Source organism: Homo sapiens, chromosome 4, assembly GCF_000001405.40.
Source record: "Homo sapiens chromosome 4, GRCh38.p14 Primary Assembly".
Lineage (NCBI taxonomy): Eukaryota > Metazoa > Chordata > Mammalia > Primates > Hominidae > Homo > Homo sapiens.
This window is the reverse complement of record NC_000004.12, coordinates 87,334,272-87,354,927: the sequence shown is the minus strand read 5'-3', so window position 1 is coordinate 87,354,927 and position 20,656 is coordinate 87,334,272. Positions and strand designations below refer to the sequence as shown.

At 39.6% G+C, this 20,656-nt stretch overlaps 1 protein-coding gene across 1 annotated transcript in view; it reads left to right on the top strand.

The window, feature by feature from the left end:
* The window catches only part of HSD17B11 (hydroxysteroid 17-beta dehydrogenase 11), a 54,674-nt gene extending 36,261 nt beyond the window's left edge, over nt 1-18,413 (top strand). The window contains exons 6-7 of the mRNA NM_016245.5: nt 14,322-14,438; nt 17,562-18,413. Coding sequence (NP_057329.3) covers nt 14,322-14,438; nt 17,562-17,652 — 208 coding nt within the window. The 3' untranslated portion in view covers nt 17,653-18,413. The remainder of the gene's footprint in view (nt 1-14,321; nt 14,439-17,561) is intronic.
* The last annotated feature ends 2,243 nt before the right edge of the window (nt 18,414-20,656 follow it).

Sequence of the window (20,656 nt, the reverse complement as noted above, 5' to 3'; positions counted from 1 at the left end):
GCCCAGGCTGGTCTCAAATTGGCCTTGAGCAATTCTCCCACCTCCACCTCACCTCCCAAAGTGCCAAGATTATAAGCATGAGTCATTGCATCCAGCCAAGATTCAATTTTTAAGTTTTATTCTGCCCCCTCAAACTTCCCCATATTTCCCCCAATTCAGCTGCCTTTGTTGAAAATGTATTTAAAATTAATGAAAAATATTCAGTGTGGCCACTTGAAGGGTTAATTTGAAGGTAAAATTGAAGATTCTAATTTTTTTCCTTTTTTTATTTTTTTTATTTTTTTTGAGACAAGGATTCGCTCTGTCACCCAGGCTGGATGCAGTGGCACAATCACAGCTCGCTGCAGCCTTGACCTCCTGGGCTCAACCTATTCTCCCACATCAGCCTCCCCAGTCCCTGGGACCATACAGGCATGTGTCCCCACACCTGGCTAATTTCTAAATTTTTTGTAGAGACAGGGTCTCCCTATGTTGCACAGGCTGGGCTCAAGGGCTCCTTGAACTCAATTGAACTCCTGGGCTCAAGTCATTCTCCCAACTTCAGCCTCTCAAAGTGCTGGGATTACAGGCATGAGTCACCATGCCTGGCCTAACAGTTCTATTTTATTATTATTATTATTTTTTTAGTGGAGACGGAGTTTCATCATATTGGTCAGGCTGGTCTCGAACTCTTGACAGCTGATCCACGGCCGCCAGGTTCTATTTTAAACACACTTAATTTAAGTCATCCCACAGGGAAGCAGAACAGAAAGCCAACGTTAGACAGAAATTTGGGAGCTGTCCAAAGATCTCAAGCCCCCAAGAATCTATCAAACAGTCTTTAAAATCTATTTTTAATACACAATTTTTGTTAGAAAACAAAAGTAAGAGTGTATATTTTAGAGGTCAATGTTTAAATTTATCAGTATTAAACAAGAGAACCCTAATTGGAGTCTGAAGAGAGAAGAGAAGGGACAGATATGTTTTTCAGGTTGGGAAATGGATCTGAGGAATGAAAGTAGTGAGGATAAGCTTCACTAAAACTGAAAGCAGATGTTGAAGATAAAACTTGCCAGTTTCCTCAATTTCTTTTTCAGTATGTGGATACTAAAATAACATATTTGAGTCAAGTTTTAAAGTCATACTGTCTTTCAGTAGTTAAAAACAGACATCCTATTTTCAAAAGTTATAATTGAATTTTTTAACCTTGCCCCCCCTACAAGGCCGCACAGAGCTGACCTTAACGTGGGCTCCAGCGCCCTCTCCTGACAAAACTTACTAGTGCCATTAATTCCTACATATTGCCAAACTCCTCTCCAGAAATGCTGCACTGATTTGCACTCTGGAGGAAAAGTGTGAAAAGAGGCTAAGATGATTCTAGGCTGAATATAAACCTGGCTAAGGAAGGGCCTAAAGATTGGTCCTGACATATGAACCTCTTTGAGGCTAAGCTGGTACTAAAGTAGACCCCAAAGATGAAGTTGGTTTTAATATAGAAACTTATTACTTCTAATTAGAAGAGAGAACATGTTCCTCGTTAAATACCTGTTTACATTTCAGACACCAAATAAAATGTCATTTTCTTAAACCTCACAACAATACTTTTGGGGAGATGTTATTAGTCCCTCTTCAGTAGATGAGAGAGATCTGAGGTTTAGAGAAATTAAATTACAAGTTATATACCCTTTGGCCCAGTAATCCCCCTTTATGAATCTACCTGAGGGAGATAATTATCCAAAAGTGAAAATATGTGTGCCCGAGGATGCTTATTGCTGATTTGCTGTTAAAAATCCAGAATACTAGAGGGAGGAGCCAAGATGGCCGAATAGGAACAGCTCCGGTCTACAGCTCCCAGCGTGAGCGACGCAGAAGACGGTGATTTCTGCATTTCCATCTGAGGTACCGGGTTCATCTCACTAGGGAGTGCCAGACAGTGGGCGCAGGCCAGTGTGTGTGCGCACCGTGCGCGAGCCGAAGCAGGGCGAGGCATTGCCTCACCTGGGAAGCGCAAGGGGTCAGGGAGTTCCCTTTCCGAGTCAAAGAAAGGGGTGACGGACGCACCTGGAAAATCGGGTCACTCCCACCCGAATATTGCGCTTTTCAGACCGGCTTAAGAAACGGCGCACCACGAGACTATATCCCACACCTGGCTCGGAGGGTCCTACGCCCACGGAATCTCGCTGATTGCTAGCACAGCAGTCTGAGATCAAACTGCAAGGCGGCAACGAGGCTGGGGGAGGGGCGCCCGCCATTGCCCAGGCTTGCTTAGGTAAACAAAGCAGCCGGGAAGCTCGAACTGGGTGGAGCCCACCACAGCTCAAGGAGGCCTGCCTGCCTCTGTAGGCTCCACCTCTGGGGGCAGGGCACAGACAAACAAAAAGACAGCAGTAACCTCTGCAGACTTAAGTGTCCCTGTCTGACAGCTTTGAAGAGAGCAGTGGTTCTCCCAGCACGCAGCTGGAGATCTGAGAACGGGCAGACTGCCTCCTCAAGTGGGTCCCTGACTCCTGACCCCCGAGCAGCCTAACTGGGAGGCACCCCCCAGCAGGGGCACACTGACACCTCACACGGCAGGGTATTCCAACAGACCTGCAGCTGAGGGTCCTGTCTGTTAGAAGGAAAACTAACAACCAGAAAGGACATCTACACCGAAAACCCATCTGTACATCACCATCATCAAAGACCAAAAGTAGATAAAACCACAAAGATGGGGGAAAAACAGAACAGAAAAACTGGAAACTCTAAAACGCAGAGCGCCTCTCCTCCTCCAAAGGAACGCAGTTCCTCACCAGCAACAGAACAAAGCTGGATGGAGAATGATTTTGACGAGCTGAGAGAAGAAGGCTTCAGACGATCAAATTACTCTGAGCTACGGGAGGACATTCAAACCAAAGGCAAAGAAGTTGAAAACTTTGAAAAAAATTTAGAAGAATGTATAACTAGAATAACCAATACAGAGAAGTGCTTAAAGGAGCTGATGGAGCTGAAAACCAAGGCTCGAGAACTACGTGAAGAATGCAGAAGCCTCAGGAGCCGATGCGATCAACTGGAAGAAAGGGTATCAGCAATGGAAGATGAAATGAATGAAATGAAGCGAGAAGGGAAGTTTAGAGAAAAAAGAATAAAAAGAAATGAGCAAAGCCTCCAAGAAATATGGGACTATGTGAAAAGACCAAATCTACGTCTGATTGGTGTACCTGAAAGTGATGTGGAGAATGGAACCAAGTTGGAAAACACTCTGCAGGATATTATCCAGGAGAACTTCCCCAATCTAGCAAGGCAGGCCAACGTTCAGATTCAGGAAATACAGAGAACGCCACAAAGATACTCCTCGAGAAGAGCAACTCCAAGACACATAATTGTCAGATTCACCAAAGTTGAAATGAAGGAAAAAATGTTAAGGGCAGCCAGAGAGAAAGGTCGGGTTACCCTCAAAGGAAAGCCCATCAGACTAACAGCGGATCTCTCGGCAGAAACCCTACAAGCCAGAAGAGAGTGGGGGCCAATATTCAACATTCTTAAAGAAAAGAATTTTCAACCCAGAATTTCATATCCAGCCAAACTAAGCTTCATAAGTGAAGGAGAAATAAAATACTTTATAGACAAGCAAATGTTGAGAGATTTTGTCACCACCAGGCCTGCCCTAAAAGAGCTCCTGAAGGAAGCGCTAAACATGGAAAGGAACAACCGGTACCAGCCGCTGCAAAATCATGCCAAAATGTAAAGACCATCGAGACTAGGAAGAAACTGCATCAACTAATGAGCAAAATCACCAGCTAACATCATAATGACAGGATCAAATTCACACATAACAATATTAACTTTAAATATAAATGGACTAAATTCTGCAATTAAAAGACACAGACTGGCAATTTGGATAAAGAGTCAAGACCCATCAGTGTGCTGTATTCAGGAAACCCATCTCACGTGCAGAGACACACATAGGCTCAAAATAAAAGGATGGAGGAAGATCTACCAAGCCAATGGAAAACAAAAAAAGGCAGGGGTTGCAATCCTAGTCTCTGATAAAACAGACTTTAAACCAACAAAGATCAAAAGAGACAAAGAAGGCCATTACATAATGGTAAAGGGATCAATTCAACAAGAGGAGCTAACTATCCTAAATATTTATGCACCCAATACAGGAGCACCCAGATTCATAAAGCAAGTCCTCAGTGACCTACAAAGAGACTTAGACTCCCACACATTAATAATGGGAGACTTTAACACCCCACTGTCAACATTAGACAGATCAACGAGACAGAAAGTCAACAAGGATACCCAGGAATTGAACTCAGCTCTGCACCAAGCAGACCTAATAGACATCTACAGAACTCTCCACCCCAAATCAACAGAATATACATTTTTTTCAGCACCACACCACACCTATTCCAAAATTGACCACATAGTTGGAAGTAAAGCTCTCCTCAGCAAATGTAAAAGAACAGAAATTATAACAAACTATCTCTCAGACCACAGTGCAATCAAACTAGAACTCAGGATTAAGAATCTCACTCAAAGCCGCTCAACTACATGGAAACTGAACAACCTGCTCCTGAATGACTACTGGGTACATAACGAAATGAAGGCAGAAATAAAGATGTTCTTTGAAACCAACGAGAACAAAGACACCACATACCAGAATCTCTGGGACGCATTCAAAGCAGTGTGTAGAGGGAAATTTATAGCACTAAATGCCTACAAGAGAAAGCAGGAAAGATCCAAAATTGACACCCTAACATCACAATTAAAAGAACTAGAAAAGCAAGAGCAAACACATTCAAAAGCTAGCAGAAGGCAAGAAATAACTAAAATCAGAGCAGAACTGAAGGAAATAGAGACACAAAAAACCCTTCAAAAAATCAATGAATCCAGGAGCTGGTTTTTTGAAAGGATCAACAAAATTGATAGACCGCTAGCAAGACTAATAAAGAAAAAAAGAGAGAAGAATCAAATAGACACAATAAAAAATGATAAAGGGGATATCACCACCGATCCCACAGAAATACAAACTACCATCAGAGAATACTACAAACACCTCTACGCAAATAAACTAGAAAATCTAGAAGAAATGGATACATTCCTCGACACATACACTCTCCCAAGACTAAACCAGGAAGAAGTTGAATCTCTGAATCGACCAATAACAGGCTCTGAAATTGTGGCAATAATCAATAGTTTACCAACCAAAAAGAGTCCAGGACCAGATGGATTCACAGCCGAATTCTACCAGAGGTACAAGGAGGAACTGGTACCATTCCTTCTGAAACTATTCCAATCAATAGAAAAAGAGGGAATCCTCCCTAACTCATTTTATGAGGCCAGCATCATTCTGATACCAAAGCCGGGCAGAGACACAACCAAAAAAGAGAATTTTAGACCAATATCCTTGATGAACATTGATGCAAAAATCCTCAATAAAATACTGGCAAACCGAATCCAGCAGCACATCAAAAAGCTTATCCACCATGATCAAGTGGGCTTCATCCCTGGGATGCAAGGCTGGTTCAATATACGCAAATCAATAAATGTAATCCAGCATATAAACAGAGCCAAAGACAAAAACCACATGATTATCTCAATAGATGCAGAAAAAGCCTTTGACAAAATTCAACAACCCTTCATGCTAAAAACTCTCAATAAATTAGGTATTGATGGGACGTATTTCAAAATAATAAGAGCTATCTATGACAAACCCACAGCCAATATCATACTGAATGGGCAAAAACTGGAAGCATTCCCTTTGAAAACCGGCACAAGACAGGGATGCCCTCTCTCACCGCTCCTATTCAACATAGTGTTGGAAGTTCTGGCCAGGGCAATCAGGCAGGAGAAGGAAATAAAGGGTATTCAATTAGGAAAAGAGGAAGTCAAATTGTCCCTGTTTGCAGACGACATGATTGTTTATCTAGAAAACCCCATCGTCTCAGCCCAAAATCTCCTTAAGCTGATAAGCAACTTCAGCAAAGTCTCAGGATACAAAATCAATGTACAAAAATCACAAGCATTCTTATACACCAACAACAGACAAACAGAGAGCCAAATCATGGGTGAACTCCCATTCACAATTGCTTCAAAGAGAATAAAATACCTAGGAATCCAACACTGTGAAGGACCTCTTCAAGGAGAACTACAAACCACTGCTCAAGGAAATAAAAGAGGAGACAAACAAATGGAAGAACATTCCATGCTCATGGGTAGGAAGAATCAATATCGTGAAAATGGCCATACTGCCCAAGGTAATTTACAGATTCAATGCCATCCCCATCAAGCTACCAATGACTTTCTTCACAGAATTGGAAAAAACTACTTTAAAGTTCATATGGAACCAAAAAAGAGCCCGCATTGCCAAGTCAATCCTAAGCCAAAAGAACAAAGCTGGAGGCATCACACTACCTGACTTCAAACTATACTACAAGGCTACAGTAACCAAAACAGCATGGTACTGGTACCAAAACAGAGATATAGATCAATGGAACAGAACAGAGCCCTCAGAAATAATGCCGCATATCTACAACTATCTGATCTTTGACAAACCTGAGAAAAACAAGCAATGGGGAAAGGATTCCCTATTTAATAAATGGTGCTGGGAAAACTGGCTAGCCATATGTAGAAAGCTGAAACTGGATCCCTTCCTTACACCTTATACAAAAATCAATTCAAGATGGATTAAAGATTTAAACGTTAAACCTAAAACCATAAAAACCCTAGAAGAAAACCTAGGCATTACCATTCAGGACATAGGCGTGGGCAAGGACTTCATGTCCAAAACACCAAAAGCAATGGCAACAAAAGACAAAATTGACAAATGGGATCTAATTAAACTAAAGAGCTTCTGCACAGCAAAAGAAACTACCATCAGAGTGAACAGGCAACCTACAACATGGGAGAAAATTTTTGCAACCTACTCATCTGACAAAGGGCTAATATCCAGAATCTACAATGAACTCAAACAAATTTACAAGAAAAAAACAAACAACCCCATCAAAAAGTGGGCGAAGGACATGAACAGACACTTCTCAAAAGAAGACATTTATGCAGCCAAAAAACACATGAAGAAATGCTCATCATCACTGGCCATCAGAGAAATGCAAATCAAAACCACTATGAGATATCATCTCACACCAGTTAGAATGGCAATCATTAAAAAGTCAGGAAACAACAGGTGCTGGAGAGGATGCGGAGAAATAGGAACACTTTTACACTGTTGGTGGGACTGTAAACTAGTTCAACCATTGTGGAAGTCAGTGTGGCGATTCCTCAGGGATCTAGAACTAGAAATACCATTTGACCCAGCCATCCCATTACTGGGTATATACCCAAATGAGTATAAATCATGCTGCTATAAAGACACATGCACACGTATGTTTATTGCGGCACTATTCACAATAGCAAAGACTTGGAACCAACCCAAATGTCCAACAATGATAGACTGGATTAAGAAAATGTGGCATATATACACCATGGAATACTATGCAGCCATAAAAAATGATGAGTTCATATCCTTTGTAGGGACATGGATGAAATTGGAAACCATCATTCTCAGTAAACTATCGCAAGAACAAAAAACCAAACACCGCATATTCTCACTCATAGGTGGGAATTGAACAATGAGATCACATGGACACAGGAAGGGGAATATCACACTCTGGGGACTGTGGTGGGGTCGGGGGAGTGGGGAGGGATAGCATTGGGAGATATACCTAATGCTAGATGACACATTAGTGGGTGCAGCGCACCAGCATGGCACATGTATACATATGTAACTAACCTGCACAATGTGCACATGTACCCTAAAACTTAGAGTATAATAAAAAAAAAAAAAAAAAAAAGAAAAAAAAAAAATCCAGAATACTAAAAACAACCCTAAAATCATCACTAGGAGATGCTATTGCTCCCAATAATCAATACAATTTACTGTTTACTATAAAGGTATAATACAGCATAATCTGGGTTTATTGGAATTAAATGTAAATCAGGTGTTCCAATTATTTTTTTAAGCTCAGTTATTTTTGTTAAACTTGAATTTCAACAAATAGTTTTTAAAATTTTTTAAAAATATACATATATATATTTTTTCTTTTAGAGACAAGGTCTTGCTTTGTTCCCCAGGCTGATCTTGCCTCAGTGTCCCAAGTAGCTGGGCTATAGGCGTGAGCTGCCACACCCAGCTTAGCACACTTTTAATCTTTGCCAGTATGATAGGAAAAAAACAGTACTTCCATGTTATATTAATATGATATTTTTATCATTAAATTGGCCAACAATAATATTTTCATTCATTTAATTATTTATGTTTGAGACAGGGTCTCGCTCTGTCGCCCAGGCTAGAGTGCAGTGGCATGATCCCAGCTAACTGCGGCCTCCACCTCCCAGATTCAAGCGATTGTCCTGCCTCAGCCTCCCAAGTAGCTGGGAGTACAGGTGCGTGCCACCATGCCCAGCTAATTTTTCTATTTTTAGTAGAGATGGGGGTTTTGCCATGTGGGCCAGGCTGATCTCAAACTCCTGACCTCAAGCGATCCGCCTGCCTCGGCCTCCCAAAGTGTTGGGATTACAGTCGTGAGCCACCGCACCCGGCCCATCCTTTTATATTTAATAAATCCTACTATCTTTGCTACTCCATTTTGATTATATAAATCAGACTGCATTACACAAATGCTTATAAAACAGGTTGAAGAAATGCCCTTCTGTTCCTAGTTTGTTGAGTGTTTTTATCACGAAGGAACGTTGTATCATGTCAAATGCGTTTTTGATACCTACTGAGATGATGGTGTAGGTTTTTTCCCTTCATTTTATTAAAATGGTATATTTCACTGTTTTGTGTATGGTGAGCCACTTTGTATTCCTGGGATAATGGCATGTAGTTATTTTAATATAATGCTAGATTTAATTTGCCAATCTTTTGTTGAGAATTTTTGCATCTATATTCCTAAGAGATACTGGTCAGTAGTTTTCATGTGATCTCTTACTCTGTTTTTAGTATCGGGGTAATTCGGGACTCAGAGAATGAATTAAGAATTTCCTCCTCTTCTATTTTTTTGGGAGAATTTGAAGGATTGGTGTTAATTCTTTTTTAAACATTGGGTAGAATTCATTATGAAGCCATCTAGTCCTGGGCTCCTCTTTCCTGGAAGTTTCTTGATTGCTGATTCAATCTCTTATTAAAGATCTCAGATTTTCTGTTTTTCCTTGAGTCAGTTTTGGTAGTTTGTGTATTCCTGAGAGTTTGTATATTTCATGTAGGTTTCTAATTTGTTGGCATGCAATTGTCCTAGTATTCTATTATAATCTTATTTATTTCTGTAAGGTCAGCAGGAATGTCCCTGCTTTCATTCCTGGTTTTAGTAGTTTGAGTCTTCTCTCTTTTTGCCTTGGTCAGTGTAGCTAAAGGTTTGCTAATTTTGTTTATCTTTTTAAAGAACCTATTTTAAGTTTCATTGATTTTCTCTGTAGTTTTTCTGTCCTCTAATTCATTCATTTGTGCTTCAATCTTTTTTTTCTGCTTGCTTTGGGTTTGTTTTTATTTTTTGTTTCTATAGTTTCTTAATGTGGAATTTCACTTTACTGATTTGAGATCTTCTTCTTTTTTTAATGCAGGCATTTGCAGCTATAAATTTGCCTCTGAGCACTGCTTTCACTGCACCTCATGAGTCTTTATTTGTTTATTTATTTATTTTGAGATAGGATCTCACTCTGTCACCCAGGCTGGAGTGCCAGTTGGTGCAGTCATAACTCACTGCAGCCTCTACCTCCCTGGGCTCAAGTGATCCTCCTGCCTCAGCCTCCTGAGTATCTAGGACTACAGGTGCGTGCCACCACACTCAGCTAATTTTTAAAAATTGTTTGTAGAGACAGGGTCTCACTCTGTTGTCCAGGCTGATCTCAAACTCCTGGGCTCAAGCAATCTTCCTGCCTCAGCCTCCAAAGTGCTGGGATTATGGGCTTGAGCCACTATGCTCACCTCATCCCATAAATCTTGATATGTTGTGTTCTCATTTATGTTCACCTCAAAGTATTTTCTAATTTCTTGTGGTTTCTCATTTGTCTCATTGCTTATTTAGGGGTACTGTTTAATTTCTGTATATTTGTGAGTTTTCCAGTTTTCCTTCTGTTATTTTCTGATTTTACTCCATTGTAGTCAGAGAACATAGTTTGTATAACTTTAATCTTTTAAAACATATTGAGATTTGCTTTGTGGTCTGATGTATGGTCTACCTGGGAGAAAATTTTCCATGTGTTCTTGAGAATAATGTGTATTCTGCTGTTGTTGGGATGGTGTGAGGCATCTGTTAGGTATAGTTGATTTATAGTGTTATTCAAGTCTTCTATTTCTGCTGGTCTTCTGTCTAGTTCTTCAATATGTTGTTGAAAGTGGAAAATAAAGTCCCCGGCTATTATTGTTGAAACTGTCTTATGTCTCCCTCCCTTTAATTCTGACAGGTTTTGCTTCATGTATAATATTTTGGGATCTCTTGTTAGCTACACAAGCAATTTTTAGTTAAATGTTTTTTTCCTGAAATAAATTATCTCTTTCCAACTAATGATAGAAACAATGCCGCATAACCTGAATTTATTAGATTAAGTGTAATTGAGTGTTCTGATCATTTTGGGGGCAGCCAAGATTTATTTCTGTTGAACATCATTTTAAAACATCTAATTTCCCATCTGTAATATATATAACACAATTTATTTTTTCTCTAAAAATTTAGGAGTTTGTATGTGTGTGTCACAGAAAGATATTAGTTTTATTGACTAGTACCATAAAAAGATGTTATATAAGAAAATGCCTCATGTAACATTTGTCTAGTGTAACTGTATAAAGTGCTTGTATATATACATTTCCATTTAACCGTCATATTCCCAGTGGAGTGCTGGTGCTGGCTTATATAGTAGTACTCATTCAGTGATGTCAGGTAGATAGTTTAAAATTAGTTGTCGTGGGAATATTTACACTGTGGAAATCAACAAATGCTACTAAACTGAGATTTTTGTCCCCTAGAGAGCCAGTGGTTAAACATTTGCCACTGCACCACTGCACTATCCTTATTTTTCAGATTAGGAAATAACAAAAACAAAAACCTGAGATTTAAAGAGTTGAGGCCAGGCACAGTGGCTCACGCCTGTAATCCCAGCACTTTGGGAGGCCAAGACAGGCAGATTACCTGAGATCAGGAGTTCGAGACCAGCCTGGCTAACATGGTGAAACCCCGTCTCTACTAAAAATACAAAAATTAGCCAGGCGTGGTGGCACATGCCTGTAATCCCAGCTACTTGGGAGGCTGAAGCAGGAGAATTGCTTGAGCCTGGGAGACGGAGGTTGCAGTGAGCTGAGATCGTGCCACTGCACTCCAGCCTGGGCGACAGAGCGAGACTCTGTCTCAAAAAAAAAAAAAAAAAAGAGTTGAAATGTTTTCCCCAAAATTACTCATTACTTAAGTGGTTAAAGTAGGTCATCAAATACAATCCTTCAGACGAAAATACTCCTTCCCCCTCAGTATTTCTCTACCCCAACATGCACCCTCCTTTCCCACCCCAGCAGATTGGCTTGAAGTGTTTTTGGATAGTTTCTACAAAATCCATTAAGAACATTTGTTTAATGGGATTTGTAACTCTCGTTAACTTTAGCGTATTGGGAAAAAAAATGTTTCCACATACTGACATTTTAATGATTAAGATACTATTTTGCTAAGAAATTGAGTTTTTTCTGAAAGCCTTTTCTTTTGGCTTTTAAAATTATGATATTGAACAGTCATTGTATTTCAATAAGAAGTTATCTGACAGGGGCTAAAAACCTTAGGTAAAGAAATCGGGTACACTAGAAAAGTTTGGTGAATGCAGCACCGCTTGATAGGTAGGTTAGCAAGGCCACAGTGTGGATGAGAGAGTGCTCTATTTACACAGGTGTCTATAAGCTTTCATTGAGCTTGAGAATATTGAAGTCTGGTAGCAATGTGCTACAAAATGAATTTCCCTCTAAATGCTTTTCAAGGCATAGCATCCTTCAGTTTCTGGATTCATCCTCCTTGATACCCCTGCCTGTTTATGCTGCAAGCTTCCGTTGCCTTTGATTTTTTGCTTCCATTAGGCCAAAAGCCATCGATTTCATTATTACATTTCCTCTCCTATCAAATCTCCAAGATTTTCATATGTAATACTATTGCTTCAAGGTCCCATGGTGAACACAATATTCTAATAAATGAATGAACTGTGCTGAGAATTAAAGCTTATATATTTTTAAGCTCTACTCTCCTTCATGGATCCAATAATCATGCTCACTTTTAAATACAATATTATACTTCTCAATTGTCCCAGTTTTACTTCAAAATATATTTTTTTTCTGAATGAATTATTCTTTATTTATTTCTAAAGAATTTCATCCAGTTTTGTTTTTGTTTTTGTTTTTTTGAGACGAGATCTCACCATCTTGCCTAGGCTGGTTTCCAACTCCTGGGCTCAAGTGATCCTCCCGCCTAACCCTCCCAAATTGCTAAGATTACAGGCGTGAGTCACTCTGCCTGGCACATCCAGTACTTTTTGCCTCACTTCTTTTTTTTTTTTTTTTTTGCAGCGAAGTTTCACTTTGTTGCCCAGGCTGGGGTGCAGTGGCACGATCTTGGGTCACTACAATCTCTGCCTCCTGGGTTCTAGTGATTCTCCTGCCTCAGCCTCTCGAGTAGCTGGAATTACAGGTGCCTGCCATCATGCCTGGCTAATTTTGTATTTTTAGTAGAGATGGGGTTTCATCATGTTGGCCAGGCTGGTCTCAGACTCCTGACCTCAAGTGATCTGCTTGCCTCGGCCTCCCAAAGTCCTGGGATTACAGGCATTGAGCACCACGCCTGGTGTCTCACTTCTTTTAACTAGACACACACATTAAAAATAAGCCTCCCCAAAATGTTAGCCACCCAAATAGTTTAGTGGCATGGCAAATTTCATGAGTACATTTAATTATGTATCATTTTTTCTAAGTCATTAATAAAATGTTAAAAAGTCTCAGTACTAACTCTTGTGCAGCTCCTCTCTAATTGCACTTCTGTAACTGATTTTTTTAAGCCACTTATCTATCTATTTATTTATTTAGAGACAGGGTCTAGCTCTGTTGTCCAGGCTGGAATGCAGTGGAACAGTCATGACCCACTGCAGCCTCAGCCTCCCAGGCTCAAAGGATCCTCTAGCCTCAGCCTCCTGAGTAGCTAGCACTACAAGAGTGCACCACCACTCTTGCCTAATTTTCTTTTGTATTTCTTTGTAGAGACAGGATTTTGCCATGATGGCTAGGCTGATCTCGAAGTCCTGGGCTCAAGCGCTCCACCCGCCTCAGCCTCCCAAAGTGCTGGGATTACGGGGATACAGGCCTGAACCGTCACACCCAGCCTAAAACCCACTTTTTGGGGGCCACCTGCTAGTCTGTGGTACATATACTTGAGTGATTACACAACAAAGATGTAACATGGAACTAAGTAACAAAGCCAAAACCTAATTGCAGTGGCTCCTGCCTGCAATCCCGGCACTTTGGGAGGCCGAGGCTGGCGGATCACTTGAGTCCAGGAGTTCAAGACCAGCCTGGGCAATATGGTGAAACCCTATCTCTACTAAAAATACAAAAAATAGCCTGGAGTGGTGGCGTACATCTGTAGTCCCAGCTACTTGAGGGGCCAAGGCAGGAAAATCGCTTGAACCCAGTAGGTGGAGGTTGCAGTGAGCCAAGATCTCACCACTGCACTCCAGCCTGGGTGACAGAGTGAGACCCTGCCTCAAAAAAACAAACAAACCAAAAAAAACAACAACAACCAAAAAAACCAAAGACCTAATAAATATAAGCATATCATGTGGAGATGAAGGGCCTAAAGGTGGGCACGTACCTGTCATATTCTAATTCCTCTGATGCTTTAGGAATTGTTCACTAAGGAGACTGAGTATATAATAAAACTTGTATAATAGTATCTGATTTTTTTCCCGAGACTGCTTAAAGTTTAAAAGTAAAGTTGTCAGACCTAATCTAGCTCAATTATATTTGAATCTTAGTTACTTCTATAATTCTTATTTGTGGAATAGGAATTATAATATTGCCTTCATAAAGTTATTGTCAAACGTCAATGGAATAACCTATGTAGAAGGTTTAGCACAGTGTGTGGTACACGATAAGCACTAAGTGAATGATTGTTATTATTATTATCAATGGTAAAGTAGCTACCATTTCTGAGCACCTATACTAGGCTAGACACTACAAATCAGTTATGTTATGGTGTCTGTACCATACTAAAGCTGTTGGTTAGCACCAAACTAAAGCTGAAGCCTCGGTGAAGTATTTTGTTTCTGAAGACTGACTCTGATTTCAGTTTGGGACCCACTCTGGAACCTGAGGAAGTGGTAAACAGGCTGATGCATGGGATTCTGACTGAGCAGAAGATGATTTTTATTCCATCTTCTATAGCTTTTTTAACAACATTGGAAAGGTAAGTGACAGTTAAGAAACCTTAGAAATGAAAGGTAAAATAACAATTATCTATTGCATTTTTTACTGACATTTAAATCAGGCAGTTGATAAAGTACAGTTAAATGGAATTGACTTAATAAAAATAACAGGCTCAATAACATTGAGGCAAGATTGATACAGCTCTTGGGTAAATGAACCGAGTAATTTCCACACATTTTTACTTTTTGTAAAGAAAGAAATTTGTATATTTCTGCAAGTCTTGTCTTATAAATGAATGACTCTGAAGAAGGATAGTTTTTAAGCATCTTTACATAATGGAATCATAGAACAATGATATTAAAGGAGACCAGAGTTAGGTTTTAGGTATTTATTTAAAGATACAACAGATAATCATTGAGCTTTTGTTTTGTGCAAAATCATACTGAAGTATATGAATTGCTAAATTTTTTTTTATAATTTTAGAAATCCTTGAGTCTTGCTTCTTCCAATGTGGTTCTTGGACTACACACATTACCTGGGAGTTTGTTAGAAATACAGACTCTCCTGATCTCTTGAGTCAGAATTTGCATTTCAATAAGTTCTCCTAGATGATTTGTACGCATATTAAAATTTGAGAAGCATTTCTTTGGAGCAGTAGCTCTCAACTTTGGTGCACACTGGAATTCACCTGGGAAGTTTAAAAAATGCTGCTGCCTGAGACCAACTCCCCCAAATTCTGATTGACTTGGTTTGGAGTGTGGCCTGGGCTTTGAGAGATACAATAACTTTCTAGGTGATTCAATTATCCAGCCAAGATTGGAAACCACTAGTTTCACGAATGTCTCATCATAACACACTGCTTCATTCCTCATCTGGGAAAGCTGTGTGGCAATGAGGCTGGCCACATAAGGAGGGGAAAGGGGAGAGGTGCCTTAGGACAGCTGGGAGAAAAAGCCTCTTGCTGCCTGTCCTAGACTGGGCTTCTCCAAGTCAGTGGGATATCAGGATCACTTGGGAAGTCTATTTAAAAATAGATCCCTTGATCTCACTTCTAAAGATTTTAACATGGATGTTTGAGTTGGACCGGAAATCTGTATTTTAATAGGCAACTGCCACAGACAGTGGTCCAGAGATTATATTTTGAGAATTACTGATGCGAAGAGCAAAAAACTCAAGAAATGAAAAGCATGACATATGTTAGGCTTTCTTGCCCCTTCTGCTAAAAACTATGATGAACATGCCTTGGAGGTTTAGATAGTAAAGCTCAGGGATCTCTTTGGTGAGTAGACGAGTTAAAGCCTGTGATGTTTCTGGCATTGTACTTGTCATGTTACGTAAGTATGCACTCAGTGATCGCAGCCCCTTAGAATATAAACCTATAGAAGAAGGAATTTTGCCTAGTTTTCATCACTGTATGCTCTGCATTTTGAAGAGTGACTGACACATTAGAGGCACCAAAATGTTTGTTGATTGAATAAATTAATTCTAGTTTCTAGACCTTTAAACATAAAGACTCAAAGTTTGTGCTCTGGAGTTGAATGAAGCTGTGTTTGTGTGACTTGCTTGCAACATGAACATGGATTAGTTTTTTAACTTATCTGAAGTTCAGTTTCTTTATCTGTAACATGGAGAAAACAATTGGACTTTATAGGGCTGAGACGAATAAAGAAAATAATGCTCTTAAAGTACTCAGGGCTGGGCACGGTGGCTCACGCCTGTAATCCCAGCACTTTGAGAGGCTGAGGCAGGAGGATTGCTTGAGGTCAAGAGTTCAAGACAAGCCTGGGCAACATAATAAGACCTTGTCTCTACTAGAAATCAAAAACATTAGCCAGGCGTGTTGGAACACACCTGTAGTACCAGCTACTCAGGAGGCTGAAGTGGGAGAATTGCTTGAGCTCAGAAAGTTGAGGCTGCAGTGAGCCATGATCATGCCACTGCACTCCATCTTGAGCAACAGAGCAAGACCCTACCTCAAAAATAAATAAATAAAATAAAAAGTACTCAGTACATTGTAAGTACTCAATAAATGTTATATGCCACTGTTATTATAACTACTACTATTATTATTATCATTGCCCTAATTCTTGTTATGAGGTCACATTGGTGTCATATTTCCAAACCCTCTTTTCATGCCATCTAGGCAGATTTCTGTATATTATTATGTTGATTTACATATTCTGTTTTGTTTTCTCCCAGACCCACTGGAATGTGACAACTCCCTAAATATTCTAAGTGTAGTGTCTGGAGAAAAGAGATGAGACCTGCTAGTGTCCGTCACTGTTCAAGACATTTTTTGGGGGGGTGCTGTGGGGGACGGAGTCTCGCTCTGTCGCCCAGGCTGGAGCGCAATGGCATGATCTGGGCTCACTGCAACCTCCACCTCCCAGGTTCAAGCAATTCTTCTGCCTTAGCCTCCTGAATAGCTGGGACTATAGGCACCCGCCACCATGCCTGGCTAATTTTTTGTATTTTTAGTAGAGACAGGGTTTCACCGTGTTAGCCAGGATGATCTCGGTCTCCTGACCTCGTGATCCACCCGCCTCTGCCTCCCAAAGTGCTGGGATTACAGGCGTGAGCCACCACGCCAGGCCAAGACATTTTATTTAATATAGTAACACATTGATTCCACAAAAGAACACTGAGGGATAGATGTTAATTTTTCCATTTACACGTGAGGAATTTAAACTGAAAGGTGAAATAATTGGTTCAGCATTATGCTCAAAACCAAAGCGTTGTCTGCATTTTTATTTAGCAGTTCTACTTCCGCAGTCTCTTAGTGGAACATTTTAATAATATTCTGCATTATAAAGTACAAAATTAGTTCCTATTCTCATTTCCTTTTTAATGTCGGGTTTCTTTTTGTAAAGTCTTTAGTATCTCAACTCTTCAGTTCTTACACCTCCTCCCTCAGATCTTTTGTTTCAAAAACTGACTACTTCAGGTTATTCTACTGTAAAGAAGGCTAAGCCTTCTTTTCCATTTGAAAAGGAAATAGATTTAATGGGAAAGAATATATAGTAGTGACTCAGATTTAAGATGCTTAATCTTATTTAACATGAACATGACTATACATGATAACTTAAAAGTATTTCTAAAGAGGGTATTCTACAAATGCACTTAATATTAATTTTCTAATTATTTGCATATATCTTTCTTTTAGGATCCTTCCTGAGCGTTTCCTGGCAGTTTTAAAACGAAAAATCAGTGTTAAGTTTGATGCAGTTATTGGATATAAAATGAAAGCGCAATAAGCACCTAGTTTTCTGAAAACTGATTTACCAGGTTTAGGTTGATGTCATCTAATAGTGCCAGAATTTTAATGTTTGAACTTCTGTTTTTTCTAATTATCCCCATTTCTTCAATATCATTTTTGAGGCTTTGGCAGTCTTCATTTACTACCACTTGTTCTTTAGCCAAAAGCTGATTACATATGATATAAACAGAGAAATACCTTTAGAGGTGACTTTAAGGAAAATGAAGAAAAAGAACCAAAATGACTTTATTAAAATAATTTCCAAGATTATTTGTGGCTCACCTGAAGGCTTTGCAAAATTTGTACCATAACCGTTTATTTAACATATATTTTTATTTTTGATTGCACTTAAATTTTGTATAATTTGTGTTTCTTTTTCTGTTCTACATAAAATCAGAAACTTCAAGCTCTCTAAATAAAATGAAGGACTATATCTAGTGGTATTTCACAATGAATATCATGAACTCTCAATGGGTAGGTTTCATCCTACCCATTGCCACTCTGTTTCCTGAGAGATACCTCACATTCCAATGCCAAACATTTCTGCACAGGGAAGCTAGAGGTGGATACACGTGTTGCAAGTATAAAAGCATCACTGGGATTTAAGGAGAATTGAGAGAATGTACCCACAAATGGCAGCAATAATAAATGGATCACACTTAAACTTTTGGTGTTTCCATCTTTTTGTCTTAAACAGAACATGACAACCTTCAAATTAAAGGAAAATAAATTGTGCAATCTTTTTTTAAAAACTGGAAATTTCTTGGATGTGAGGCTCATTGAGATGGGACTATAAGATCAGATCTATAAATTTAAAAATTTAGTAGGTTTGTTAGGTTTCTTCTACGAAAGAAAAATATTTTCAAGACTATATCAAACACGGCTGGTCACAGTGGCTCACGCCTGCAATCCCAGCACTTTGAGAGGTCGAGGTGGGTGGATCACAAGGTCAGGAGTTTGAGACCAGCCTGGCCAACATGGTGAAACTCCATCTCTACTAAAAATACAAAAATTAGCTGGGCGTAGGCCAGGCGCAGTGGCTCATGCCTATAGTCCCAGCACTTTGAGAGGCCAAGGCGGGCGGATGATTTGTATGCATATTAAAATTTGAGAAGCACTTCTTTGGAGCAGTAGCATCCTGGCCAACATGGTGAAACCCCATTTCTACTAAAAATCCACAAACATTAGCTGGGTGTGGTGGCGGGTGCCTGTAGTCCCAGCTACTTGAGAGGCTGAGGCAGGAGAATCACTTGAACCCAGGAGGTTGAGGTTGCAGCGAGCCGAAATGGTGCCACTGCACTCCAGCCCGGAGACAGAGGGAGACTCCGTCTCAAAAAAAAAAAAAAAAAAAAAAATTAGCTGGGTGTGGTGGTGGGCACTTGTAATCTCAGCTACTCAGGAGGTTGGGCCAGGAGAATCATTTGAACCCCGGAGGCGGAGGTTGTAGTGAGCCAAGATTGTGCCACTGCACTCCAGTTTGGGCAATAGAGCAAGACTCCATCTCAAAAATAAATAAATAAAAATAAAAAAGGCTATGTCAAACACATACACATGGAGAACTTTAATCCTTTTATCAGACAGTTCATATTCAGAAAACACATAAGGCAGAATCCTTTAACATCCTGTTAAATGTAGCAAGTGAGCTACATTTAGGTTCAGAAAATTTTTGGAGAAAGATTTTGATCCAGATTTTAAGCAGAAACTAATATTTATGCAACATATGTCAGTTACTGTCCTAAACACTTAACTTACATCAATTAGCCCATTCAACAAGTTAAGTAATATCATCAGTGTCATCACAAATTATAAGGATCATTTGGTAATATGTTTAAGGAAGGTTACGTTACAGATTCTATAACATATAAGATAATTTCTCAGAAAGCATCATTTCTATGGTAAATTTCTCCCTCTTTCCCATCAACTACCTTCTTCTAATTCAGAGAATCAAAATAGCATTGCTGTTGGACTACAGTTTGCATTTAGTTAGTGTAAATACATATGGGTCAAAAATTCTTGTCTCCCAAACATTATATTTGAATAATATAACTTAGATTCCTCTCCATACCTCAGCTATACTCTACTAGCACTCTAGGGTTGACTATCCACAGAATTTATAGATTAAAACACCTATCCTGGTAACAGAAATGACACTAGAAAGTGGAGAGCCTGTTACACTCAGCTTCTAACTCACTTTGAAATAGATTTAATTGTTTATTCTTTTATTTAAATTATACTTGTTCCAGACTGCTAGCCACCTGCCAGTGAAGTAGACTAGGAGAAAGCCTTTAGCAAACTTTAGTAAGATAATCAAGGCCCAAATATACTGACAACTTTTCCTAATAAACATATTTTGGCTCCTAGAACACTTGTCATAAATTAACATTTGGATGAACTTTAGCGTTAACCATTATGAGAAATAAGCATTACTTCTTTTGATGTTATGTGGGCAAATGGTAGTGTGCCCCATTTACTGAATGTTAACCATGTGGCAGGCACAGTTTGCCACTTAGTCCTTCAGCAGTCCTGTGCAGAAGGCATTGTTAGAAGGCATTGAACTAGCTGTGAACACAGCAGTAGTAGCAGAAACCCAGAAGAACCTTGGAGTCTATAGCCCTTACTCTGGAGAAAAGATGAATGACTATAGTATCATGGGGATTTTGAATTTTGATAAGAAGAAGGAGAGGAAGAGGAGGAAGGGGAAGGGGAGGAGGAGGAGGAGGGAAGAAGAAGAAGGGAAGAGGAAGAGGGAGAAGAAGAAGAAAAGAAGAAGAAGAGGAAGAAAAGAAGAAGAAGAAAGAAGCTTTCCAACATTAGTCTCAAAGTCTGAAAGCTTGTCAATGTTATTTGAATGAAGTTTATCCTAACTCTGATTTCACTTCTCAGCAGTTTGGTGGGAAGATTCATCTCGGTCATCAATAGAGCCAATTCTGAGAGACATACTAAAATCAAAGAGCTTTAGGTTGTCTTCAGGTAAATGGGGAATGATTTCTCATTGCCAACTA